The following is a 26748-nucleotide window of genomic DNA, read 5'->3' as shown; positions in this document are numbered from 1 at the left end:
TTACCACACCACGTGCCTTAAAACAACAGAAATTTATTTCCTCACAGTTGTGAAGGCCGGAAGTCCAAAATCAAGGTGTTAGTAAGACCATACTGGGGTACCAGAATCTCTAGGGGAGTCATTGGATTTAAGTCTCACCTAGATAATTCAGGATGAATTTATCTTGAGATTCTTAATTATATTTGCAAAGACCATTTTTCCAAATAAGCTCACATTCCAGGGGTTAGGACACGGATATATCTTTTCTGGGGCCCTCACTGAAACCTCTACATATTATTTTATAGATGAGGAAATTTGGGATGAGAGAGATTAAGGAATTCACCCACAGCAAATTAGTCCCCTTCTACCAGAGAGTTCTGCCCACTTAAGAACAGCAGATTTTATAAAACTTCACACACTAAAACAATCTGGTTACACTCTTCTTATAGGACATTTGGTTTCTGCTGAGCCTACATTTGCATAACTAAAGGGATCATTCAAGTCTGCCACCTCTAGGTGAGCTTCTAGTTTCAGGTGGACCTTACCAAGCATGATGACATTATGTTACATTACATCATAAAATTATGGCCCACTGTCTCATCCTAAGGACCTTAGGCACTGAAGAATTAAAATCTATGGCCTTATTCTAGCCAATAAATTCAACCTTTATCTCACTTTAGTAGCCATTTCCCTGAACAGGAACAATACAAACTGGCTTGTGTTTCATCTCACTGTGGAATGCAAGAGTGAGAAGGCTGAGAAACAGGGAGGTGAAATAATATAAAGTGTGTATAACAGATTTCAAATCTCTTGCTTGGGGGAGTCTACCAGGTTTTATTATACTTCAGCTCAGAGATGGTTCTGTGGTTGTGGAGCTGGCCTTGTAGGGATTCTTCACCAGCTTGGCACACCGAAAAATCATCACTATTAGGAACAGAAACAGAAGAACAACAAAGGCAATGGCAAAGCCTTTGTCCACATCAACACCACTGGACAGGCTTGAATCTTCCATGGGGACTTGCACCTCGTTACTGTTGTCCAGCTCCAGCTAATTCCTCAGGTATAGCTTCAGATTTGTCATATTCCTAGACAAAGGAGGATAAAACAGGCTTATCGGTTTGTGTGTGTATGTGTTTTCTTAATAACACTGTGAAAAACCAAAAAGGGACCAAGGGTTGAAAAAATATCAGTAAGATTTACTTAAGAAGCAGTTACAAAACTGATAAAGTTAATATAGATGACTGACAAGATACACACATACACACAAGTATAAAATATCCGAAGAATTACTCCAAGGCAGAACGTGAGCAAATGTATATAACCTAGGAATCAGTTGGGCCTGCCTTGTCCCCTAAGATCCAGGTAAAACTGTCTTAAACATCTGAATTCTGTGTTAAGTCAAAATCCTCCTCTAAGATTACTTCAAATTCCAAGAGTACTTATTGTACCTAGTTGTTGTATAACTCACTGGCTATGAACATGAAATTGTTTTATTTTTTCTGATCACTACATTTAATTGTGCTGTCATTCTTACATCTTCATGAAAAATCAGGTATATCCCAGAAGTGATCAATTTCAATTATTAAAACTTACAGGCCGGGCATGGTGGCTCACGCCTGTAATCCCAGCACTTTGTGAGGACAAGGCAGGTAGATCACCAGAAGTCAGGAGTTCGAGAACAGCCTGGACAACATGGTGAAACCCCGTCTCTACTAAAAATACAAAAATTAGCCAGGTGTGATGGCGGGCACCTGTAATCCCAACTACTTGGGAGGCTGAGGCAGAATTGCTTGAACTCAGGAAGCGGAGTTTGCAGTAAGCCGAGACCGAGTCATTGCACTCCAGCCTGCGCAACAGAGCGAGACCCCACCTCAAAAAAAAAAAATAAATTTACATAAGGAAAACAGGAAAAAAAAACCCAAAACCTTACTCCATCAAGAAAATTCTGAAAAAGAAAAACAAAGTAAGAGGACTCATACTTCCCAATTTCAAAAACTCACTAAAAGCTACAGTAATCAAAACTATGGTACTGGTACAAAGACAGACATACAAATCAATGGAATAGAATTGAGAGTCCAGGGCCAGGCACGGTGGCTCACGCCTGTAATCCCAGCACTTTGGGAGGCCGAGGCAGGCGGATCACTTGAGGTCAGGAGTTCAACACCAGCCTGGCCAACATAATGAAACCCTGTCTCGACCAAAAAAAAAAAATACAAAAATTATGGCCAGGCACGATGGCTCATGCCTGTAAGCCCAGCACTTTGGGAGGCCGAGGCAGGCGGATTATGAGGTCAGGAGATCGAGACCATCCTGGCTAACACGGTAAAACCCCGTCTCTACTAAAAATACAAAAAATTAGCTGGGCGTGGTGGTGGGCACCTGTAGTACCAGCTACTCCGGAGGCTGAGGCAGGAGAATGGTATGAACCCAGGTGGCAGAGCTTGCGGTGAGCCGAGATCACGCCACTGCACTCCAGCCTGGGTGACAGAGCGAGACTCTGTCTCAAAAAATAAAAAAAAATACAAAAATTAGCCAGGCATGGTGATGCATGCCTGTAGCCCCAGCTACTTGGGAGGCTGAGGCAGGAGAATCACTTGAAACCAGGAGGCAAAGGTTGCAGTGAGCCGAGAGCATGCTACTGCACTCGAGCCTGGGCGACAGAGTGAGACTCTGTCTCAAAAAAAAAAAAAAAAAAATTGAGAGTCCAGAAATAAACCCATGTATCTATGACCAAGTAATTTTAAACTAGGGTACCAAGAAAATTCGGTGAGGAAAGAAAACAAATGGTGCTGGGACAACTGGATAGCCACATGCAAAAGAATTAAGTTAGACCCTTATTTTGAAATGAACCCAATAGTCCCATAGTTTTTTTTGTTTCAACAGAAATTGACCCTTCTTGCTGGGCGTGGTGGCTCACGCCTATAATACCAGCATTTTGGGAGGCCGAGGAGGGCGGATCACCTGAGGTCAGGAGTTTGAGACCAGCCTGGCCAACATGGCGAAACCCCATGTCTACTAAAAATATAAAAATTAGCTGGGTGTGGTAGCACACACCTGTAATCCCAGCTACTCAGGAGACTGAGGCAGGAAAATTGCTTGAACCTGGGAGGCAGAGGTTGCAGTGAGCTGAGATCATGCCACTGCACTCCAGCCTGGGTGACAGATGGAGACCCGTCTCAAAAAAAAAAAAAAAGAAAAAAAAAAAACAGAAAAAAGAAAAAGAAATTGACCTTCTGGTCTTAAAGCTTAAAACTTACATTTGTTTTATGTTGAGTTCCTTCTTCAGGAAAGGGCCACCAGGCCTCTCAAAAAAAGTATCAAGGAACTGAAACTCAACCAGATCATCCCATCCTGACAATGAAGTGCAAGACCCCTCATTGGTCACAAGTGCTTTCTTGGCCTCCTGAGTTCCTGTTTTCCTACACATTGTTACATTTCTTCCTTGCTATATAAACCTCTAATTTTAGTTGGTCAGGGAGATGGATTTGTGACTGAGTTCCGGTTTCCTCTGCTGCAGCACCTGAGTAAAGCCTTCTTCTTTGGCAATACCTGTCATCTCAGGGGCAGGTATTGCTCATCTTTCTGTGTGGTGAGCAGCAGGACCTAGACCGAACTCCTGGTGTTTTGGTAACAATTTCACACCACATACAAAGATAAACTTAAAATGGATCAAAGACCTAAATGTAAGGATTCTTAGATATGACAGCAAAATCACGAGCAACAAAAAAGAGAGAAACTGGACTTCATCAAAATTTAAAACTTTTTTCTTTGAGACAGGGTCTCACTTTGTCACCCAGGCTGGAGTGCTATGGTGCCGTCTGGGGTCACTGCAGCCTCGACCTCCCAGGCTAAATTGATCCTCCCATCTCAACCTTCCAAGTAGCTGGGACTACAGGTGCACGTCATCATGCCCGGCTAATTGTTTTTTGTTTGTTTGTTTTGGTAGAGATGGAGTTTCACCATGTTGCCCAGGCTGGTCTCAAACTCCTGGGCTCAAGAGATCTGCCCTCCTTAGCCTCCCAAAGTGTTAGGATTGTATGAGCTACTGTGCCTGGTCAACACTTTTGTACTTTTTTTTTTTTTTTTTTTGAGAAGGAGTCTTGCTCTGTCGCCCAGGCTGGAGGGCAATGGCGTGATCTCGGCTCACTGCAACCTCTGCCTCCCAGGTTCAAGCGATTCTCCTGCCTCACCCTCCCGAGTAGCTGGGATTATAGGCGCCCCCACCATGCCCGGCTACGTTTTGTATTTTTAGTAGAGTCGGGTTTCACCATGTTGGCCAGGCTGGGCTCAAACTCCTGACCTCAGGTGATCTGCCCCCCTTGGCCTCCCAAAGTGCTGGGATTACAGGCGTGACCCACTGCGCCCAGCCAACTTTTGTACTTTAAGAAGCTTATTATCAAGAAAATGGGCTGGGCACGGTGGCTTATGCCTGACCAGCACTTTGGGAGGATGAGGTGGGAGGATCACTTGAGGTCAGGAGTTTGAGACCAGCCTGGGTAGTAAGGAGATACCTTGTTTCTTAATTTTTTTTTTTTTAATTAGCTAGGTGTGTGGCATATGTGTGTGGTCCTAGCTACTGGAGAGGCTGAGGCAGAAGGATCCTTTGAGCCCAGGAGTTCAGGGTTATAGTGAGCTATGATCGCACCACTGTACTCCAGCCTGGGTGACGGAGAGAGACCTGATAACCAAAGTTACAACGAAACAATGAAAAGACAACTCAATTAAAAATTAGGCAAAGGATATGAATAGAAATTTCTTTTTCTGCATAAGGAAGATATGCAAATGGCCAATAAACACATTTTTTAAATGGTCAACGTAATTAGTCATCAGGGAAATGGAAATCAAAACTTTGAGATACCACTTCACACCCACTAGGATGACTAGAATCAAGTCAGATTAAGTGTTGACAAAGGTAGAAAGTAATTGAAACCCTCATTGACGGTTGGTGGGAATGTAAAGTGGCAAAGTTACTTTGGAAAACAGTCTGGAAGTTCCTAAAATTATGAAACATAAGAGTTACTGGCCAGGTATGGTGGCTCACGCCTATAATCCCAGCACTTTGGGCAGCCAAGGTGGGTGGAGGATCACTTTAGTCCAGGAGTTCAAGACCAGCCTGGGCAACATGGCAAACCTTCCTCTCTACAGAAAATACAAAAATTAGTTAGATGTGATGGCGCACACCTGTAATCCCAGCTACTTGGGGGGCAGAGGCGGGAGGATCACCTGAGCCTGGGAGGCTGCAGTGAGCTTTGATCATGCCACCATACTCCAGCCTGAGTGACAGAGTGAGACACTGTCTAAAAAAAAAAAAAAAAGCTGGCTGGGCACGGTGGCTCACGCCTGTAATCCCAGCACTTTGGGAGGCCAAGGCGGGTGGATCACAAGGTTAGGAGATCAAGACCATCCTGGCTAACACGGTGAAACCCCATCTCTACTAAAAATACAAAAAATTAGCCGGGCGTGGTGGCAGGTGCCTGTAGTCCCAGCTACTCGGGAGGCTGAGGCAGGAGAATGGCGTGAACCTGGGAGGCGGAGCTTGCGGTGAGCCAAGATTGCGCCACTGCACTCCAGCCTGGGTGAGAGTGCGAGACTCCGTCTCAAAAAAAAAAAAAAAAAAAAAAAGCCACCATATGACGCAGCAATTCCACTCCTATGGCTGTCCCCAGGAGAAATGAAAACATGTGACCACACAAAAACTTATACAAGAATGTTTGTAGCAGCATTATTCATCATAGCCAAAAGGTAGAAACAACTCAAATGTCCATCAACTTATAAATGGATAAGCAAAGTGTGGTATGTCTACACAATAGACTATTATTGGCCATAAAAAGGAAGTACATACTACTTGGATGAAACTTAAAGCATTAAGCTGAGTGAAAGAAACAAGTCACAAACGCCCCCAGCATATTATATAATTCCATTCACATGTAAGTCTAGAATAGAGAAATCTATAGAGACAGATTAGTGGTTGCTTAGAGCTGGAGGTGGGGGATGAGGGGGTGAAAGTTAAATGATACAGGTTTTCTTTTGGAGGTGATAAAAATGTTCTACAACTGTGGTAATGGTAAAACATTTCTGTGAATGTGCTAAAAACCATTCAATTGTACATTTGAAATGGTTGAATTGTATGTGAATTATATCTTAATAAAGCTGGTTTTTGTAAAACCTTAGTTCAGTTTTAAATTCCTAATCTTATAGAGGATTTAGAGTTCTATTAGCTCTTCTCCCTTTTCAGGCTTCTTCTTCTGCATTGTACAGGATCAGGAAGAAAGGAAGGGGAAAATGTGAAGTGTTTCTCTATTTAATGAATCAGCTGTGGCCAACTGTGAGTAGGTGACCTGGTCTTACTCTGGTTAGATCTGGTGGTTTCAGAGTGAAGGATGTTTGTAGTTTTTTGAGTAGCGTTTCTCTTCATTCTGGACTTTTCTGTCATTGAAGACCCCTTCAAATGGTGCTGCTTATCCTCTATTCTCCCAACCTAAACTCACGTTGGATATCACATGGCTTGGTACAGTGGTCTCCTGGCACCTCCCACTGCTCCTGCTCCTTCGGAGACACCTGAAGTCCTTCAAGGGGAGTGGCCAGACTGTGATGGGTTGGGGGGATTGGCCACATTTTCTTCCTAGGCATACTCTGCCAAGGTACCTATAAACCCTGCCAGCACAGATTATTCCAGTGGGCCTTCCACTTTCAGATCTCTGTAGCCAAGAAATTGACATGATTTTTTATGTTTGCACAGGTTAAAAACTCACACCATGCTTTACTCCAACCTGACCAGAGTGGTTTGGCAGGTTCTACAGTTTAAAGCATCTATCTAGGGAATGAAATGCTGTTAGTCTCTCCTTGCTGGTGTCACCAATTGTACCAATGTCTCTCTTGGCATGCCCTCATCTTTGGCTTTGGGAGGAAGGGGAAGTACTTTTATCTTTGCTTCTCATCACAAATTTTGTACATCCCATAATGCCGATAATGAGAATTCCCAGTTGCCCTCCCAGTTCATTCTTTTTGTTGTTGTTGTTGTTGTTTTTGAGGTAGGGTCTCACTCTGTCACCCAGGCTGGAGTGCAGTGGCATGGTCATAGCTCAATGCAGCCTCAACCTCCTGGGCTCAAGTGATCCTCCTGCCTCAGCCTCCTGGATAGCTGTGACTACAGGTGCCCACCACCATACTTGGCTGATTTTTAAATTTTTTGTAGAGACGAGGCCTTACTATGATGCCCAGGCTGGTTTCAAACTCCTGGGCTCAAGCAACCCTCTGCCCACCTCAGCTTCCCAAAGTGCTGGGATTATAGGCATGAGCCACCACACCCGGCCCCAGTTCATCCTTCTTTTTTTTTTGAGATGGAGTCTCGCTCTGTCGCCCAGCCTGGAGTGCAGTGGTGTGATCTCAGCTCACTGCAAGCTCCGCCTCCCGGGTTCACGCCATTCTCCTGCCTCAGCCTCCCGAGCAGCTGGGACTACAGGTGCCTGCCACCACACCCGGCTAATTTTTTGTATTTTTAGTAAAGATGGGGTTTCACCGTGTTAGCCAGGATGGTCTCGATATCCTGACCTCGTGATCTGCCCGTCTCGGCCTCCCAAAGTGCTGGGATTACAGGCGTGAGCCACTGCGCCCGGCCTTATTCTTTATATATACTGTGGTGGGACAAGGGGTGGGAGTTGGTGGATATACGATTGACTACGCCATCTTCTCATGAGATTTGGAAGAGGTTCTGGCTCTAATTGTTGCAGCTTTCTTTAGATTATAAGTAGTATTGTGCCTTCAATAAGACTTGACCACAATTCTGGGGCAACAGGGTAAGTTGCACTCATATCTTTTACACTGGGTTTTCATGCCACCCCCTGGACTCCTCCCAGATGTGCAGATGGAATGGGCAGATAAGGCCGGGTGCCACGGCTCATGCCTATAATCCCAGCACTTTGGGAGGCCGAGGTTGGGGGGGATCACCTGAGGTCAGGAGTCCGAGACCAGCCTGGCCAACATGGTGAAACCTCATCTCTACTAAAAATACAAAAACTAGCTGGGCATGGTGGTGTGTGCCTGTAGTCCCAGCTACTTGGGAGGCTGATGCAGGAGAATGACTTGAATCCGGGAGGTAGAAGTTGCAGTGAGCCAAAATTACACCCTTGCACTCCAGCCTGGGTAACAGAATGAAACTCGGCCTAAAAAAAAAAAAAAAAAAAGAATTGGCAGATTCTGCAAGTTCCTTATGAAGGGTGATTTGTGTGTGTGTGTGTGTGTGTGTGTGTGTGTGTGTGTGTGTGGTTTTCTTTTTGATTATCTTGTCTTATGATCACACATAATTTTAAAATTTGTGTGTATCTCCTCTACTTTAATCCTTTTAAGTTGGCAAAAGCATCATTCCCAATCACAAATACATAGCAGTTCTACAGTTTTATGTTTCTGAATGGCTGTTTAAAGACTATCCTAAATTATAACTTAGTTTGACAAGCATTCAAGAGTGAAGTTTAACTTGCTACTATTTTAAAAGCATGTGACCTTATAGATCATTTATAAAATGTGAGAAATGCTAAATAATCTTTGATATTACACATAAAACACACTAAAATGTCTTTCAATAAGTAAAAGGAACCATTTTAAATACAGGGAATTCTAATTAGATTGGCATAGTTAAGGCCAAAAATATAAAGTAGACATTACTACCTTATTTATCTTCAACCCTTGCCTTTATGGACACAAAACACAGGTGAATCTTGCTTGGTTCTGAGACAGTGAAGGAATTTCTCCAGTATTCAAATATATTCACATAACCAGTTATATAAATCTAAATATAAAACCAATCTCCAGTAAGTTTGAAGATGGTACTCACCATCTTTGTGAAAAGTTTAACATTACTAACAAAGTCTAATCATATCTTTAGAAGGGGTAAACAGTGATAGCATTTACTGAATTGGAATTACTATTAAAATTCAAAAACTGAACATATTCATTTAACCACAAGCCAGTCTTAGTTTTAAATCAGGACTGTCCGACAAAATATTCTGTCAGTCATTCATGATCTGAATTCTGGTGTATAAGCTCTGTTAAAGTATGGTACACATGAAAAATTCATGAGACATTTGTTTTGTAATAAATAAGGCAGTGGCCAATTATTACTCATTAGTAGCTTTTTTGAGATAAGCTGTCAAGTCGGCCTTTTCTGCCTTCTTTTTAATGCCGGCAAAGATCATTTTTGTTCCAGGGATGTACTTCTTGGGATTTTCCAAATACTCCATCAGCGTATCCTCTCCCCAGATGATGCCTTTGTTCTTATTGGCATCTGTGTAAGAGAATCCAACAGCCTGACCTGTCTTCTGACTGAAGAGACCATGGAGATTAGGCCCAGTCTTGTGCTTGCCTCCCTTTTCCACGGTGTGACACTGGGCACACTTCTGAACAAAAATCTTCTTGCCTTTCTCAACATCACCCATATTTAATTCTCTTTTTCATCACTGGTGCAACGTAGGTTACCACTCTGAAGCCGGACATCCCACTCTCTCCATAAAGGCAATTTTTTTTTTTTTTTGAGACGGAGTTTCACACTGTCGCTCAGGCTGGAGGGCAAAAATGGCGCAATCTCTGCTCACTGCAACCTCTGCCTCCCAGGTTCAAGCGATTCTCCTGCCTCAGCCTCCCGAGCAGCTGGGATTACAGGCGCCCACCACCATTCCAGCAAATTTTTTGTATTTTTAGTAGCGACGGGGTGTCACTATGTTGGCCAGGCTGGTCTTGAACTCCTGACCTCCTGATCCACCTGCCTCAGCCTCCCAAAGTGCTGGGATTACAGGCGTGAGCCACCATGTCTGGCCAGAAGGGTGATTTTTATTTTTAATTTTATTTTATTTTTTCATCTCATACTGGTATCTTTTAATTAAAAAAAAGTTAAAAATCAAAGAGAACGTCTGGCCAGGGCTAGGTTAAGACAGACAGGAACACTTCAGAATCCAAGGCAGGGAAAGGCTGTTGGCCTCTCTTAAGAGGACTGCAGGGGTGGGAAGCGGGAGGGACAAATCATGCACAAAAGTACTTATAATAAAATTATATACGCAACCCCCACCCCTCAATAAAAAGAGAAGAAAAAGCCCCATCACTTAACAGAAGGGTGATTTTTAATAAAATATGTTGTTGTTACAGAATGATCAGATTTTCAAAACAAAACATAGGGATTGGCAGAACAGACGCATCAGGTTATTAAAAGGAGACTATTTCTGTTTCAATTACAGCTGTGCTATAAATTTAGGCCAAAATAAAACAATAGATAGCAGGAGCCCTATGTTCCAAAGAGGGATCTGATAACCAGGCATTGCAGAGCAAGTAGCTAGACAATTTTTGAAATATTTAGTTCAGTATTCACCTTGAGGGGATAAAAAGGGTTGAGAGTAAAGAGGCAATAGGTTTTCTTGGGGAAAGTTGCTGGAATGTTGGTATTTTCCCTCTGTACTCTGTAGGAGAAAGGTGTACAGAGGGAAAATACCAAAGGTGACTACTTTCCCTTCAAGCTTGATATATGTTCCCTGCAGTTTATGGGACATAGTGGTCTGCTTTTTTGTCATTTTGTCTTGTTTATATTCCACTTTAAGAGTTTTTTCCCCTACTATTATTGCATTTATTTTTTGAGTATGTGAAATAGTAACATAGTTACCAGAACTATACAAAAATTACACTCAAAGAAGTATCACCCCTCCCCGACCATTCTTTCCATTCCATTTCACCCACATCTCATCCTTGCCACCCATTCCTACCTACCTCCTATAGGTGATGAATCTCATTCATTTCCGTCGGCCAGGCTGGAATGCAGTGGCACGATCTTGGTTTACTGCAACCTCTGTCTCCTGGGCTCAAGCAATTCTCCTGCCTTAGCCTCCCAAGTAGCTGAGATTACAGGCGTGTGCCACCATGCCCAGCAATTTTTTTTTTTTTTTGAGGCAGTCTCTCTCTGTTGCCCAGGCTTGAGTGCAGTGGCCCAATCTCAGCTCACTGCAAGCTCCGCCTCCCGGGTTCATGCCATTCTCCTGCTTCAGCCTCCCGAGTAGCTGGGACTACAGGCACCCACCACCACGCCTGGCTAATGTTTTTTAAAAATATTTTTAGTAGAGACGGGGTTTCACTGTGTTATCCAGGATGGTCTCAATATCCTGACCTTGTGATCTGCCCGCCTCTGCCCCCCAAAGTGCTGGGATTACAGGCGTGAGCCACGGCGCCCAGCCAAATTTTTGTATTTTTAGTAGAGACGGAGTTTCACCATGTTGGCCAGGCTAATCTTGAACTCCTGATCTCAGGTAATCCGCCTGCCTCGGCCTCCCAAAGTCCTGGGATTACAGGAGTGAGCCACTGTGCTCAGCCTCTAGCATTATTTATTAAAAAGACTATTATTTCCCCATTGAATTTATTTTTTTTTTTTTAGATGGAATCTCACTCTGTCGCCCAGGCTGGAGTGCTGGAGTGCAGTAGCACAATCTTGGCTCACTGCAAGCTCCACCTCCCAGGTTCACGCCATTCTCCTGCCTCAGCCTCCCAAGTAGCTGGGACTACAGGTGCCCGCCACCATGCCCAGCTAATTTTTTTTTTGTATTTTAAGTAGACACACGGTTTCACTGTGTTAGCCAGGATGGTCTTGATCTCCTGACCTCATGATCTGCCCGCCTCGGCCTCCCAAAGTGCTGGGGATTACAGGCATGAGCCACTGCTCCCAGCCCCATTGAATGTTCTTGACACCCTGGTTGAAAATTGCTTGGTCACAGATACATTTCTAGACTCTCAATTCTATTCTGTTTATCTGTATATCTAACCTTACACCAATATCATACTGTCTTGATTACTGTAGCTTTGTAGTGTTTTGAAATCATAACATGTGAGCACCCCACCTTTCTTCATTTTCAAGAGTGTTTGGTTATTCAGAGTCCCTGAGTTTCCACATGAATTTCAGAATCGGCTTGTCAGTTTTTATAAACAAATCAGATGGGATTCTGATACAGATTGTGTGTCTTCTATCTATAGAGCAATTTAGAGAGTACTGGCATCTTAACAATGTTAAGTCTTCTGATCCGTGAACATGGTGTATCTTTCCATTTGCTTAAGTCTTTTCAATTTCTTTCAACAATGTTTTGTAGCTTCCAAAGAATACATTTTGCATTGCTTTTCTTAAATGTATTCCTATTTTATTCTTTTGTTATCTTAAGTGGGATTGTTTTCATTCTTTCTGTTTGTGTTTTTCTGAGACAGGGTCTCACTCTGTCACCCAGGCTGGAGTGCAGTGGCATGATCGTGGCTCACTGCAGCCTCAACCTCCTGGGCTCAAGGGATCCTCCTGCCTCAGCCTCCCAAGGAACTGGGACTACAGGTGCATGCCACCATGTGCAGCTAATTTATTTTTATGTAGAGACAAGATCTCACCATTTTGCCCAAGCTGGTCTCGAACTCCTGGACTTAAGTGATCCTCCCACTTTGGATTACAGGCGTGAGCCACCATGCCCAGTCTCGAATTGTTTTTTTAACAGTTATATATTTTATGTAAATGGTCTGTTCATGTATTTTGTCTCTTTTTCTATTGAATGTGTGGTCTCCTTCTCCCCTCGATTTTTAAATATTGTTTATACACTAGGGATATTACCCCTTCATATATAATATATATTGCAAATATTTTCTCACTATTCGTCAGGGTTTTTTTTTGGTTTGTTTTTTGAGAAAGTCTTGCTCTGTGGCCCAGGCTGGAATGCAGTGGAGCAATCTCAGCTGACTGTAACCTCCACCTCCCGGGTTCAAGTGATTCTCCAGCCTGTTTCCCAAATAGCTGGGATTACAGGTGCCTACCATTGTGTCGAGAATTGGTTCCTTCCAGTGAGTTCTTGGTCTCACTGACTTCAAGACTGAAGCTGCAGACCCTCACGGTGAGTGTTACAGTTCTTAAAGATGGTGTGTCCAACGTTTGTTCCTTCCAGTGTTCAGATGCGTCTGGACTTTCTTCCTTCCAGTGGGTTTGTGGTCTTGCTTGACTTTAGGAGTGAAGCCGCAGACCTTCGCAGTGAGTGTTACAGCTCTTAAAGGTGGCAGTCCGGAGTTGTTCGTTCCTCTCGGTGGGTTCGTGGTCTCACTGACTTCAGGAGTGAAGCTACAGACCTTCACGGTGAGTATTACAACTCATAAAGGTAGTGCAGACCCAAAGACTGAGCAGCAGGAAGATTTATTGAGAAGAGCAAAAGAATACAGCCTCCACACGGTGGAAAGGGACCCGAACGGGTTGCTGCTGCTGGCTCAGGCGGCCAGCTTTTATTCCCTTATTTGGCCCTGCCCGTGTCCTGCTGATTGGTCCATTTTACAGAGCACTGATTGGTCCATTTTACAGAGTGCTGATTGGTCCGTTTTTACAGAGTGCTGATTGGTGCGTTTACAGATCTTTAGCTAGACAGAGAGCGCTGATTGGTGTGTTTACAATCCTTTAGCTAGACAGAAAAGTTCTCCAAGTCCCCACTCCACCCAGGAAGTCCAGATAGCTTCATGTCTCACTATCACACCTGGCTGGTGTTTTGTATTTTTAGTAGAGACAGGTTTCATCATGTAGGTCAGGCTGGTCTCAACTCCTGACCTCAAGTAATCTGCCCACCTTGGCCTCCCAAAGTGTTGGGATTACAGGCATGAGCCACTGCATCAGGCCATGTTTTGTTTTTGTTTGTGGTGCATATTTTTGTCATGCAAAAAATTTTTATTTAACATAATGAAATTTATTTTTGTCTTTTATTACCTCTGAATTTTGAGTCATTATTAGAAAAATTTTCTCCACATTCAGTCTATAGAATGCACCCATGTTCTTTTTTTACTATTTGTATGGTTTCATTCTTTTCCATTTAGATCCCTGATCTATTTGGAATTTTTAAATTTTTAAATTTTTAAAAATACAGATAGAGTCTCACTGTGTTACCCAGGCTGGAGTGTAGTGGTGCAATTATGCCTCACTGCAGCCTTGAACTCCTGGGCACAAGTGATCCTCTTGCTTCAGCTTCCCAAGTAGCTAGGACTATAGGCATAATATGCCTGGCTAAAATTTTTAAAAAAAATTTGTAGAGATGGGGGTCTTGCTATGTTACCCAGGCTGAAGTTCTGGCCTCAAGTGATCCTCTCACCTAGCCCTCCCAAGGCACTGGGATTACAGGCGTGAGCCACCATGCTTGGACTTTTTGAGTTTATTATTGTTTGTTTGTTTATTTATTTATTTATTTATTTATTTATTTATTTGAGACGGAGTCTTGCTCTGTCGCCCAGGCTGGAGTGCAGTGGCGTGATCTCAGCTCACTGCAAGCTCCCCCTCCCGGGTTCATGCCATTCTCCTGCCTCAGCCCCCCAAGTAGCTGGGACAACAGGCGCCTGCCACCACGCCCAGCTAATATATATATATATATATTTTTTTTTTTGTATTTTTAGTAGAGACAGGGTTTCACTGTGTTACCCAGGATGGTCTCGGTCTCCTGACCTCGTGATCCGCCCGCCTGGGCTTCCCAGAGTGTTGGGATTGCAGGCGTGAGCCACCGTGCCCGGGCCCCCCGCCCTGCCTTTCTTTCTTTCTTTTTTTTTTTTTTTTGAGTCAGAATCTTGCTCTGTGGCCAGGCTGAAGTGCAGTGGCACGATCTCAGCTCACTGCAACCTCTGCCTCCTGGGTTCGAGCAATTCTTCTGCCTCAGTTTCCTGAGTAGCTGGGACTACAGGCGGGCACCACCACGCCCAGCTAATTTTTGTATTTTTAGTAGAGACAGGGTTTTGCCATGTTGGCCAGGATGGTCTCCATCTCTTGACCTTGTGATCCGCCCGCCTTGACCTCCCAACGTGCTGGGATTACAAGCTTGAGCCACCACGCCCGGCCAGTAAGGGGGATTTTTTAAATCTTGAGGGCCAGATATGGACTCCACAGATAGGGTCCAGTCTGAGGTCATATAAAAGAAGATTCCACCCAAGAGGGCTTCCTCTTAGGTGGAATTCAACTTAGGATGAAGTTACTTTAACAGAATGTGGCTAGAGGTAAATATATTAGACTCAGCATTGTAAAGTCCAATGGGAAGAAGGAGATTGACTCTGAGGCATCTGCAGATAAATAACCTTAATGGGGGAATTTCTGAGAAACCTATAAAAAGCACATCATGAGAGAAAGTGCCCTGAACATCATCCTAGAAAGACAAAAAAAAAAACCCCACATCTATAGTGCTAGCTTCTTGGGAGGATTGCTTGAGCCCAGGAGTTTGAGGCTAGCCTGGGCAACAAAGCAAGACCATGTCTCTTAAATAGAAAAAAGCCAATAGATTTGTTTTGAAAAGTGGTTTAATGGGTGTTTTGGTTACACACAAGCAAAGCTAAAATCTTGTTTGGTAAAGAGTTAATTGGGATGATGCAGAGCTAAACTGCTCTGTGAAACAATATCATGAGTTGTGGTCATTATGGTACAGAGTTGTACCTTGCCAGAGAATTGCAAGGAAGTTGTCCTAAGACCTAGGATGAGAGAAAAGTGGTCCAGAGTTCCTCCCAATGGCTAAAAAGTATGGAAATATTGGTAAATATCTGTACCACCCTTTGGGTGTATATATATATTATTTATAGATATATCACATTGTTTATGTATCTTGTCCTTTCTATAGTGCTCTTTCAGAACAAGGTCATATGCATTTTTGCATTCAAAATTGCAGTGATTTCTCACTCCCTGTATCTATTAATATCCTTTTGGAGGCTGGCCTGTGGTGGCTCATGCCTGTAATCCCAGCACTTGGGAGGCTGAGGCAGGTGGATCGCTTGAGCTTGGAGTTTGAGACCAGCCTAGGCAACATGGAGAAACCCCATTTCTACAAACCATACAAAAGTTAGCCGGTGTGGTGGCTTATGCCTAAAGACCCAGCTACTTGGGAGGCTGATGCTGGAGAATCACTTGAGCCTGGGAAGTAGAGATTGCAGTGAGCCAATATTGTGCCACTGCACTCCAGCCTGGGCGACAGTGAGACCCCTTTTGGGCCTATTTCCAAAATATTTCTCACATAAATTTTCTTCTCTGTTTCTTTCCAGCCACCTCTGTACTCCAGGCCATCAAATGCCAGCCTCCTGTAAATACACTCTGATTTCCTGAAAACACTCTTATTCCCCTCCAAACTACAAAGTGATCTTTAATAAATGCAAATTGATCAGTCATCTGATCAAAATCTGTTTTCAGCTTCCCACTGTCTTAATGGGGCTCCAAGGCTCTTGACAATTTATTCTAACCTTATTTCTTACCTCTCTGTCCCTTGTACTTTCTAACCTGGCAATAGTGGGCTTCTCACAGTTCCATGAATTTTGCCTGCCCCTCTCTTCCCCTTTGCTTTCAAGCCTTTTCCTTTAACATTCTCTTTGTGTTATTCTCTTCCCTCTATATTCAACTTCTAGGCTTTGCTTAAATATAAATTTTCTAGGGAGATCTTTCAGTAATATTCACTATAATTTATTATATTACTTTAGTCTGTACTGGCTGATAAAATTGTAATCCTTTATGAGAGTAGGGATCATATAGAATTTGTTTATCCTAAAAGTCTGGGATATATTAGATGTTCAATAAATATTTGTTCAGTGAATGAATGTAGCCCTATATGTTTCTAAAGTGGGTATGTAAAACTTTGTTGAATGAATGAATGACTTTGAGATATGGTGTTGGCACTGAATTAAGACAGGAGAAGACTACTGGTGATCTAAAAGGAAATAGTGTTATAGTAGTAAAGAAGGAATCCAGGTTTTAGTGGATAAAGCAGCAAAGGACAGTGAGGAAATAAAGACACTAAGATTTTAAATCATTTATGAGAAGTTCAACTAGGAAAGAAAGAAGAGAAGTAGAATAGCAGCTGAAAGCCTATTTGCAGAATTAAGTGAGGGATTCCTTTTCACAGGCAGAACAGAAAGGTATCAGGTAGGATGCTTTTGGTTGCGAGTGACAGAAAAGCCCACTCACATGAGACTTAAAAATAAAATGGAATTTATTGACTCATATGGCCAAAAAGTCCAGAGTGAGACTACCTTTAGCTATGGCTGAATCCAGTGATTCAAAGTATCAGGGTTCTGCCTTTATGTGTCTATGGCTTTTCTTAACCCTGCCTTTCTTCTATGTTGATTTAATCCCCAGTTTGGCTTCCCTTACGGTATCAAGAATGGCTCCAGCAAATTCAAACCTCACATATTCCCCCTACCTATCATCTCTCCTGCTCCTTTCCAGAGGAAAAAAGAACACATTCTTGTTTGCAAGCAACAGGAACGGATTCTCCGTTAAACAGAAAATATATTTATTGTAAAGAGGTCAGATAGCTCTCAGAAAGAGAACTAGTCTTATAAACAGACAGAAATCAAGAGAAGCCAGCCATCAGGAACCATAGCCAGGGAGAGCACAGGAAAAGTCTGGTTAGGGCAATGCTGGCATTAGACATTGCCACCACCAGACACTGCTGTTGCCGAGCACTGCTGCTACTGTCATTGGATACTGCTGCCTCTGGCATGGCTGAATTATAAATTGTGTCATCTTTGTGTCACTCAATAGTCTAGTCTCTGGCTAGAGCATCTGACTGGTCAAGGCTGAGTCATGCACTAACACCTTGGCTGCCAGAGGGTGGAAGAGGGAATATTTGATTTCTCTAGGCCTCCGCAGTGGGAATTGTTTCTGACAGATTCATGTGAAGAAAGACTTCTTCATGGCCGGGTGCAGTGGCTCACGCCTGTAATCATCCCAACACTTTGGGAGGTCGAGGCAGGTGGATCACTTGAGGTCAGGAGTTCAAGACCAGCCTAGTCAACATAGTGAAAGCCCATCTCTACTGAAAATACAAAAATTAGCTGGGCGTAGTGGTGCGCACCTATAATTCCAGATAATTGGGATGCTGAGGTAGGAAGATCACTTGAACCTGAGAGGTGGAGGTTGCAGTGAGCTGAGATCGCGTCTCTGCACTGCAGCCTGGGCAACAGAAAGAGACTTCGTCACACAAAATTAAAAAAAGAAAAAAAAAGAAAAAAAAGATTTCCCCAAACAGGAAGGGTAGTTGGATGTTGGGCAGACAAAAAATGACAAACATCCATTCTTTGGTCTTGGCCCCAATCTAGCTATAGTCTATTTTTTAAAAATTCACCTAAAATTTAAAGACATGGAAAGGCTGAAAATAAAAGGGATAGAAAAAGGCATATTTGGTAAAGACTAGCCAAAATAAAATTTTATATCTATAAAATTTTATAGCTATATTAATATCAGACAAAATAGAACTAAATACAAAAAGCATCATATATATATATATGTATATATATATGTTTTTTTGAGGGGGACGGAGTCTCACTGTGTCACCCAGGCTGGGGTGCAGTGGTGCGATCTCGGCTCACTACAACCTCCTCCTGGTTCAAGCAATTCTCCTGTGTCAGCCTCCTGAGTAGCTGAGACTACAGGCACGCGCCACCACATCCGGCTAATTTTTTATTTTTAGTAGAGGTGGGGTTTCACCATGTTGGCCAGGCTGGTCTCAAACTCCTGACCTCAGGTGATCCACCCGCCTCAGTCTCCCAAAATGCTGGGATTACAGGCATGAACCACTGTGCCTGGCCACAAAAAGCATTATTAAGGATAGAGAGGATTAATAAATAATGATCAAGGGTTCAATTCAGTAGGAAGATATAACAATTCTAAATTATATGTACCTACATGGGTACACTGAAAGTCCAGACTTTACCACATTGATATATGCATGTGAGAAATCTGCACTTGTACCCGCTAAATAAAATAAATAAATAAATACATTATATGCATCTAATAAAACAGTCTTAAATAAGAAAGCAATAGAACTCTAGAGAGAAATAGATATAAACCACCATTATGGTAGATAGAACACACATTCTTCTCAAGTATTAATAGGTTGACTAGGCAAAAATCAGTGAAGATATAGAATATTTGAATAATACAATTAACAAGCTTGATTTATTGAACATCTATAAAATCTTGTGCCCTATAATTAGCAAATTCATATTTTTCCATTGTAGTCTTTAATCCCATTTGAGTTGGGCTTTTCGGTCATGTGTAACTAAGAATCCTACTTCTGTTTTAAATAACTAGAAAGTTTCTATTCCCTGCAAATAAATCCTGATTGACACAAATACCAAGCTGAGTTTTTCCCAGAAATGCAAGGGTAGTTTACATGAGAAAACCTGTAAGTGACATTTAATATATAGATTAAATGAAAAAATTACCTCAATGATTACAGAAAAAGCATTTGATAAAACTTAATACTAGCCAAGACAGGAGGATTGCCTGAGTCCAGGAGTTCGAGACCAGCCTGAGCAACATAGTGAGACGCCCCCATCTCTGGTTAAAAAAAAAGAAAAAAAAGATACTAATATAAAACACCTATGTTAATATTCTTAGCAAAATAGGGATAGAAAGGAGCTCCTTTAACCCATTTATGCCTGAGGGTGCAATTTTTTGAATTTTTGCAATCAGACCTTGGTGATGACCTTGAGCAGTAGGACATAAATAACCCCCACATGCTTAGGGTTCCAATAATGGAACACTAGGCATAAGTGGGGGTATCCATAAAAAATGTATAGGCTGGGTATGGTGGCTCATACCTGTAATCCCAGCATTTTGGGAGGCTGAGGCAGCAGGATTGCTTGAGGCTAGGAGTTTGAGACCAGCCGGGGCAACATAGTGAGACCCGTCTCTCTAAAAAAATTTAAAAATTAGCCAGGCAAGATGGTGCATGTCTGTACTTCCAGCTACTCAGGAGGCTGAAGTGGGATGATCACTTGAAGCCCGGAGATCAAGGCCATAGTGAACCATGATAGCATCACTGTCTTCCAGCCTGGGTGACAGAGTGACAGCCTGTCCAAACAACAACAAAAAAAACTATAGCAAACCTACTACTTAATGGGCAACAGTTGAAAGATTTTCCTTTTAAAATCAGGAACCAGACAAAAATGTTCACTATATTAACTTTTATGTAACATAATTCTGGAAGTCCTAGCCAGTGCAGTAAGATAAGATGAAAAAAAATGGATTGAAAAAGAAGAAAACAAAAGTTTACTATTCACAGACGTCATTGCCCGCAGATGAGTCTAAAGAAAAATGTGAGATAATTAGAGCTTAGCAAGGTGGCTGGATAAGATACATAAGTCAATTATATTTCTAAATACCAGCAACACACAAGAAAATGTAATTTTTAAAAAAGCATCATTTACAATGGCATTAAAAATACGTAAGATATTTAAAAATAAGTTTAACAAAAGTTGACTAGGACCAGTTTGGAAACAATTACCAAACTTTACTGATAGTCGTTAAAGAACACTTAAGTAAATGAAGGGATATACTATGTTTGTGGATTCAGCATAGTAGTTAGTTCTTCCCAGATTGATCTATGGATACAATGCAACTCCACCAAAATCCCATCAGGATTTTTTGAGAAAACTGACAAATCAATTTTCTTAAACGTATGAAGGAACTCAAAGGCTCAAGGATAGAGAAGATAGAAGCCAGGCATGGTGGCTCATGCCCGTAGTCCTAGCACTTTGGGAGGTTGAGGCTGACAGATCTCCTGAGGTCAGGAGTTCAAGACCAGCCTGAGCAACATGGTAAAACCCCATCTCTACAAAAACTACAAAAATTAGCTGGGCCTGGTGGTGGGCACCTGTAGTCCCAGCTACTTGGGAGGCTGCGGTGGGAGGATCTCTTAAGCCAGGGAGGTTCAGGCTGCAGTGAGCCGAGTTCATTTCATACCACTGCAATCCAGGCTGGATGATAAAGCGAGGCCCTGTCTCAATAAAAAAAAAAAAAAAAAAAAGAAGAAGAAGAATAAGACATTCTGAAGAAAAAGAATAGGGTAGAGAGATTTTCCTTATCAGCAATCAAGGTTTATTATAAAGCTATAGGGTTTATGACAACGGGGTAGGTATGTGGGCATAGATACCCCTAGAGAGCCCAGAGGCAAATCACACATTTACAGAAACTTGAATTATAACACAGTGGGTATTGTTGGTCACAGGAAAAGCATGAACTATTCAATAAGATACTGGAAAATAGGATATTTATTTTAAAAATTGCATTTAGTTATATGTAAAAGGAAAACTTGAAAACCTTTAGAAGAAAATATGACATATCTTTATGACTTCAGGCACATATTTTCTCATTATTCATCATTACATTCCTCAAAAAGGACATCTTGTTTTACCCTGGCACTTGCAGATCTCACTAGACTTATTCAGCCTGAATATTTTATTAATTTTCCACCTTCTCTCAATTAGTGCATTTCAAGAGACTTCCATCTTTCTTTGATTTCCTTTCATTTATTCTCCTTATCACAAATTTCTAGTATAATTTTATACTAAGTAAACTGTCTGAATCTTATAAAGTTAAAGAGAAAAATAAAAAAATCTGTACTTCCTGAAAGCAAATAATTCCAAAGCAATTTGCTGGGTAAAGTGGGAAAGAAGCCCAAAGGGAAGAATCAAGGGAGATTTTACTGAAGAGGCCAACACATGAATTGAATTGAGGGCTAAGAATGAGTTTATCTGGCAGCTAAAAGTGGGAAAGGGGAGAAGGAAAGAAGATATTCCAGGTAAAGATATGAAGGTTTAAGGGAGGACAATATAGTATGTTTGAGAAACAGCAATTGTTCAGTAAGACTTTGAGATATATTTTACTGAATAGATAGGATTGGTAGCAAAGGCAGCTCACAAGGGACCTTGTGTTGCAGATTAAACACTCAGGACTCAGCTTTGTAATCAGTGGGGAGCCATTGGAAAGCTTGTAAACATGAAAATTACATCATTAGATGTTTGTGTTAGAAATATCAGATAAGGCCGGGTGCAGTGGCTCACGCCTGTAATCCCAGCACTTTGGGAGGCCGAGGCAGGCAGATCACGAGGTCAGGAGATGGAGACCATCCTGGCTAACACAGTGAAACCCTGTCTCTACTAAAAATATGAAAAATTAGCCAGGCATGGTGGCGGGTGCCTGTAGTCCTAGCTACTCGGGAGGCTGAGGCAGGAGAATGGTGTGAACCCAAGAGGCGGAGGTTGTAGTGAGCTGAGATCTGCCACTGCACTCCAGCCTGGGCGACAGAGCGAGACTCCGTCTCACAAAAAAAGAAAAAAAAAAAGAAAGAAAAGAAATATCAGATAGGCAGGAATGTGTAGCGTACATGAGGCAAGAATTAACCTGATATTCTTCTATCAATATGAGTTTCTACAGGGCAAACGTCCATTTCCTGTAGGAAATGTTTGTCAATGTGGAAACTCCAATGTCAGAAGGAACATGCTGCTTCTCTTGGGTGTAGGGTATGAACAGTACAACCTTCATCGATTAATAAACTCAGCTGGGAGTGGTATTAGTTATAGAAGTCTTTGTAGAGGTGATGGCTGAGCTCTATTTGGAACAAGAAAAGAGCACTCCAAATAAAGGAATAGTGATGGAGACAGGAAGCATTGAAGCTTTCTGGAAAATGATGCTTAATTTAATATTGCAGAACTCACAATGCATGAAAGTGAAGGGTATAAAATTTCACATTGGGCCAGGCGCGGTGGCTCTCGTCTGTAATCCCAGCACTTTGGGGTGCCGAGGCGGGTGGATCACCTGAGGTTGGGAGTTCAAGACCAGTCTAACCAACATGGAGAAACCCCGTCTCTACTAAAAATACAAAATTAGCCAGGCGTGGTGGCACATGCCTGTAATGTCAGCCACTTGGGAGGCTGAGGCAGGATAATCGCTTGAACCCGGGAGGCAGAGGTTGCAGTGAGACAAGAACGTACCGTTGCACTCCAGCCTGTGCAACAAGAGCAAAATTCCATCTCAATAAATAAATAAATAAATAAATAAAATCTCACATTGGAAGGAAACTTTAAAGGTCATCTTGTACCACCTTCTAATCATTCCTGTAAAGCCCCTGCTTGAGCTCCTTGTGTGACAGGGGCTGGGCACTGACTGTCTCCTGGCTGTCTATCTATTTCAGAAGGTTCTGGAAGGCAGTAATTTTTTACCTTGAGCCAAATCTGTCTTCTTAGTACAGCTTCACTTTTTACTTAGGACTGTTTAAGGCAACACATATCTTTTCCATACACAAGAGTTTCAGTAATTTAAAAATAGCTATTAAGTACGTTTGATTGGTTTCTCAGAGGATGTGGTCTACCACTCTACCCTTTTTCTACTGAAGATTTTCTAGTGTGTCTATATTCCTTTTAAAATGTGGTGCCCAATACAGAATACAAGATGCATGCAAACTCAAGATTATTCATCTAGATACTATACTTCTGTTGCTTAAGACAGGACCATACTGAACCTTGAAAGTCAGGGCAAGGACTTTGAATTTTGTTCTTTCAGGTATCGGGAAGCAATGGAAGGTTTTGAGCAGATAAACATTTTGGGAGCAGGGGCCATATCTTACTGTGTATCCCATTGATTCTAACTAGAATGTAAGCTCTAGGTGTCTGTCCCATTCATAGCATGGATTCAGTGCCTGGGGAGGGCTGGCATATTTTATGTATTTAATACGTCTACATGAATGAATTAATATGAATCTCTATCGGTGTCTGGCACATAGTGCATACAACAGTTCATACTTGTTGAATTCAGGCAGGTAAATGATCAAAGCCATACTTCAGGAAGATAACTGGCAAGAGTGCGTAAAAAGTATTGGAGCTAACACACACTATAGGGTGAAAACAACAAGAGGAGTTTTAGCAGTCTCAACAAGGGGAAACAAGGGCTAGGATAACACAGTGAGTAACAGAAAGGAAAGAATGGATGTGAGATTGTGAAAGAGAATTTGTGACGACCTGGAAATTAAGTGGACATGTAGTGGGAAGAAGAAGGAAGTGATAAAGAAAACTCCTGGGCTTAAATTTGGAAAGCTGAAAGAAAAATGATGCCATTCATAGAATTATTTATTTTAGGAGTTGCTTTTTTTTTTTTTTTTGAGACAGAGTCTTGCTGTGTCGCCCAGGCTGGAGTGCAGTGGTGCGATCTCGGCTCACTGCAAGCTCTGTCTCCCGGGTTCACGCCATTCTCCTGCCTCAGCCTCCCGAGTAGCTGGGACTACAGGTGCCCGCTGCCACGCCCGGCTAAGTTTTTGTAGAGACGGGGTCTCATCCTGTTAGCCAGGATGGTCTCGATCTCCTGACCTCGTGATCCGCCCGCTTCGGCTTCCCAGAGTGCTGGGATTACAGGCGTGAGCCACTGCACCCAGAGGAGTGGCAGATATTTTAAGGTACTAGGATGAAATCAGTCTGAGGTAGGCTGAATTTAAATGCACTGATACAATATGCTCAGGAGGCTAAAATGTGGGACTGGAATTCAGAAGTAGAGTGAGATCGGCTAGGCACGGTGATTCATTCCTATAATCCCAGCCCTTTGAGAGGCTGAGGCGGGTGGATTGCTTGAGCCCAGGAATTCGAGACCAGTCTGGGCAACATAGCAAGACCCCATCTCTACAAAAAAACAAAAACAAAATCAAATTAGCCTGGCGTGGTGGCACGCACCTATAGTCCCTCCCAGCTACTCAGGAGGCTGATGTGAGAGGATCGATTGAGCCCAGGAGGTCAAGGATGCAGTAAGCCATGATCGCACCACTGCACTCCAGCCTGGGTGACAAAGCAAGCCCCTGTCTAAATAAATAAATAAATAAATAATAAAATACATTCTTATTAGAAAGGAAAATGCTGTTTTGTTTCTAAGTATGCCATGTATATTTTTTACTCATTTTCATATGCAGTGATCCAGATTTTGTATGGCCTAAAATTTATACAACATGGGGGTCTCTCTTTAAGGAAAGAATAAAAGATTTAAAATACAAAATTAGGGCCAGGTGCAGTGGCTCACCCCTGTAATCCCAACACTTTGGGAGGCCGAGGTCGCGGGGGATCACCTTCGGTCAGGAGTTCGAGACCAGCCTGGCCAACATGGTGAAACCCTGTCTCTACTAAAAAGTACAAAAAATTAGCCAGGCATGGTGGTGCACGCCTGTAGTCCCAGCTACTCGGGAGGCTGAGGCAGGAGAATTGCTTGAACCTGGGAGGCAGAGGTTGTATTGAGCCAAGATCGCGCCACTGCACTCCAGCCTAGGCGGCAGAGTGAGACTGTCTCAAAAAAAAAAAAAATAAATTAGGTAAAATGTTTTCAAAATGGGGGGAAAAGTCACAACAAATTTAATTCTTATGCAAAATAGCTTTTCTTGAGAAATACACTTTCAAAAATGGTAGAGCTAAAATCTGTTTTCCAAAGGGAATACCTGTCTTAGAATTTTTTTTAAGTGGCTTTTAAGGTTCTTGTTTTGTTTGAGATGAGTAGCAGCACTTCTTGGGATTATAGTAGGAGAAAGGAGGTGTGGTGTGAAGCTATTGGTTTATGTTAAATTTGGACCTACTAAAGTAAGAATCAGAATAATGGCATTTACAAATCCTTGGCAACATCAATTCCACTTTCAGTTCCAGAAAGATCCATTACCTTTTCCTTTCTCTGTGTTCCTTTTCCAGATCACTTCATTCTTCCCACCTGCAATGACCTGCCATTCTTGAAGAAGACCAAAATACTAAAAAGACCCAGTTTTTCTCTCCTGGCCATAAGTTTAGTGCAAAGAGAGAGATGATGGTGAAGAAACACAATAATGCAGCTTTTTTTTACTATAATCCTTAAAATCAAAGACACTCTCTGGCTAATAGGACTAATCAGAGGTCCCCCCAACTTTCCTCAAAAAGAGACTATGCTCAAGACATCCCTTCTCAGATGAAAGTTTAACTTTTCGTAAAAAGCTCTAACGAAAAAGGTCTTGGGCTGAGACAGACGGGTTGCTTGAGACCAGGAGTTTGAGTTCAGTCTGGGCAACATAGCAAGATCCTGCCTCTAAAAATAATAATAATAATAATAATAATAAAGCTCTTTACTTCCTTCAGTCATTTCCCCACGATTTCCCAAGTTCATAGCAAGGTGCTATTAAACTCAGAAGAATTCTTGGAATTTCTCCCAGTGAAAACTCCACCAGGAAGGCAATGTGGGTAGTTACCTACCTTCTGAGAGCGGATATCCAAGGCTACATTCACTTGTTGCCAGGGCAGTCTCCTCCTACTCAAGTACATCTCTTGGCAGCCTCTGTTTTTATCAACCTCTTCCCACAAAAGGAGAGTGGTTGGTAGCTCTCTCCCTTCCCCACTCCCACGCTGAACTCAGAAGCTTCATGAATAGTTCAATTGAAACAGGATCAAGTTTCAGACACTCCCATACTGAGAAAATGATCCCACTAGATTAAATTGGAGCCTAGATCAGTGGAGGAATATTTCCACAACTCTGCCAGGGCCAGGACAGCCACCATTAAAAGCTCAGGTAAAAATTTCTTTCTTTTCTTTTTTTTTTTTTGAGATGGTGTCTCGCTCTGTTGCCCAGGCTGGAGTGCAGTGGTGCAATCTTGGCTCACTGCAACCTCTGCCTCCCGGGTTCAAGAGATCTTCTGCCTCAGCCTCCAAGTAGCTGGGACTACAGGTGCATGCCACCATGCCCAGCTAATTTTTGTATTTTTAGTAGAGATGGGGTTTCACCATATTGGCCAGGCTGGTCTCAAACTCCTGACCTTGTGTTCCACCCCTCTCAGCCTCCCAAAGTGCTGGGATTACAGGCGTGAGCCACTACGCCCCGCCTCAGGTAAAAACTTCTAAGTAGGATCACATGAGTGGTAGAGGATGGATTGGTAGCCAACTTTTTGGTCTATGCAACAGGTCTCTGAATTACAGCATCTCCCAGGGACTTGCTAGAAATGCAAACTCTTGGAC

General features: G+C 42.5%; 1 protein-coding gene, 1 long non-coding RNA gene and 1 pseudogene across 3 annotated transcripts in view, besides 4 other annotated features; 1 reads left to right on the top strand and 2 right to left on the bottom strand.

Moving 5' to 3' along the window:
• Positions 1–26748, top strand: part of LOC107985204 (uncharacterized) — a 48174-nt gene that overhangs the window by 13036 nt on the left and 8390 nt on the right. Inside the window, exons 2-3 of one of the 2 annotated variants that reach the window (XR_001738231.2) lie at positions 6215–6304; positions 12918–13231. This is a non-coding gene — a long non-coding RNA (uncharacterized LOC107985204). Of the gene's footprint in view, positions 1–6214; positions 6305–12917; positions 26306–26748 lie in introns of those variants that run through there. The other variant, XR_007066618.1, reaches the window with a different exon arrangement.
• On the bottom strand, positions 14–26170 carry CTXND2 (cortexin domain containing 2). The gene is made up of 2 exons (NM_001384189.2): positions 25993–26170; positions 14–1064 (listed from the first exon to the last, which is right to left on the bottom strand). Exon 2 carries the CDS (start codon positions 989–991, stop codon positions 824–826), a length of 168 nt encoding a protein of 55 aa, NP_001371118.1. The 5' UTR covers positions 992–1064; positions 25993–26170; the 3' UTR covers positions 14–823.
• On the bottom strand, positions 8893–9478 carry CYCSP51 (CYCS pseudogene 51; annotated as a pseudogene).
• Positions 20718–20862: an enhancer, noted in NCBI's record as "145 bp 1:150864992 sequence used in MPRA reporter constructs". NCBI's record gives its function as "activates a minimal TATA-containing promoter with rs4970980 allelic activity by MPRAs in C283T melanocytes {active_cell/tissue: C283T}" and the evidence as "EXISTENCE:reporter gene assay evidence [ECO:0000049][PMID:36423637]".
• Position 20790: a transcriptional cis regulatory region, noted in NCBI's record as "rs4970980 or 1:150864992 MPRA-significant variant associated with a GWAS melanoma risk locus at 1q21.3". NCBI's record gives its function as "allelic transcriptional activity by MPRAs in C283T melanocytes {active_cell/tissue: C283T}" and the evidence as "EXISTENCE:reporter gene assay evidence [ECO:0000049][PMID:36423637]".
• Positions 21597–21741: an enhancer, noted in NCBI's record as "145 bp 1:150864113 sequence used in MPRA reporter constructs". NCBI's record gives its function as "activates a minimal TATA-containing promoter with rs12096831 allelic activity by MPRAs in C283T melanocytes {active_cell/tissue: C283T}" and the evidence as "EXISTENCE:reporter gene assay evidence [ECO:0000049][PMID:36423637]".
• Position 21669: a transcriptional cis regulatory region, noted in NCBI's record as "rs12096831 or 1:150864113 MPRA-significant variant associated with a GWAS melanoma risk locus at 1q21.3". NCBI's record gives its function as "allelic transcriptional activity by MPRAs in C283T melanocytes {active_cell/tissue: C283T}" and the evidence as "EXISTENCE:reporter gene assay evidence [ECO:0000049][PMID:36423637]".

This window comes from Homo sapiens, chromosome 1 (assembly GCF_000001405.40).
Source record: "Homo sapiens chromosome 1, GRCh38.p14 Primary Assembly".
In the NCBI taxonomy this organism is placed as follows: Eukaryota; Metazoa; Chordata; class Mammalia; order Primates; family Hominidae; genus Homo; species Homo sapiens.
This window is presented reverse-complemented; position numbering and strand designations above follow the sequence as displayed.

Bases quoted from the DNA above. Each gene is read 5' to 3' on its own strand.
- CTXND2 (NM_001384189.2), bottom strand. From the start codon at position 991: ATGGAAGATTCAAGCCTGTCCAGTGGTGTTGATGTGGACAAAGGCTTT.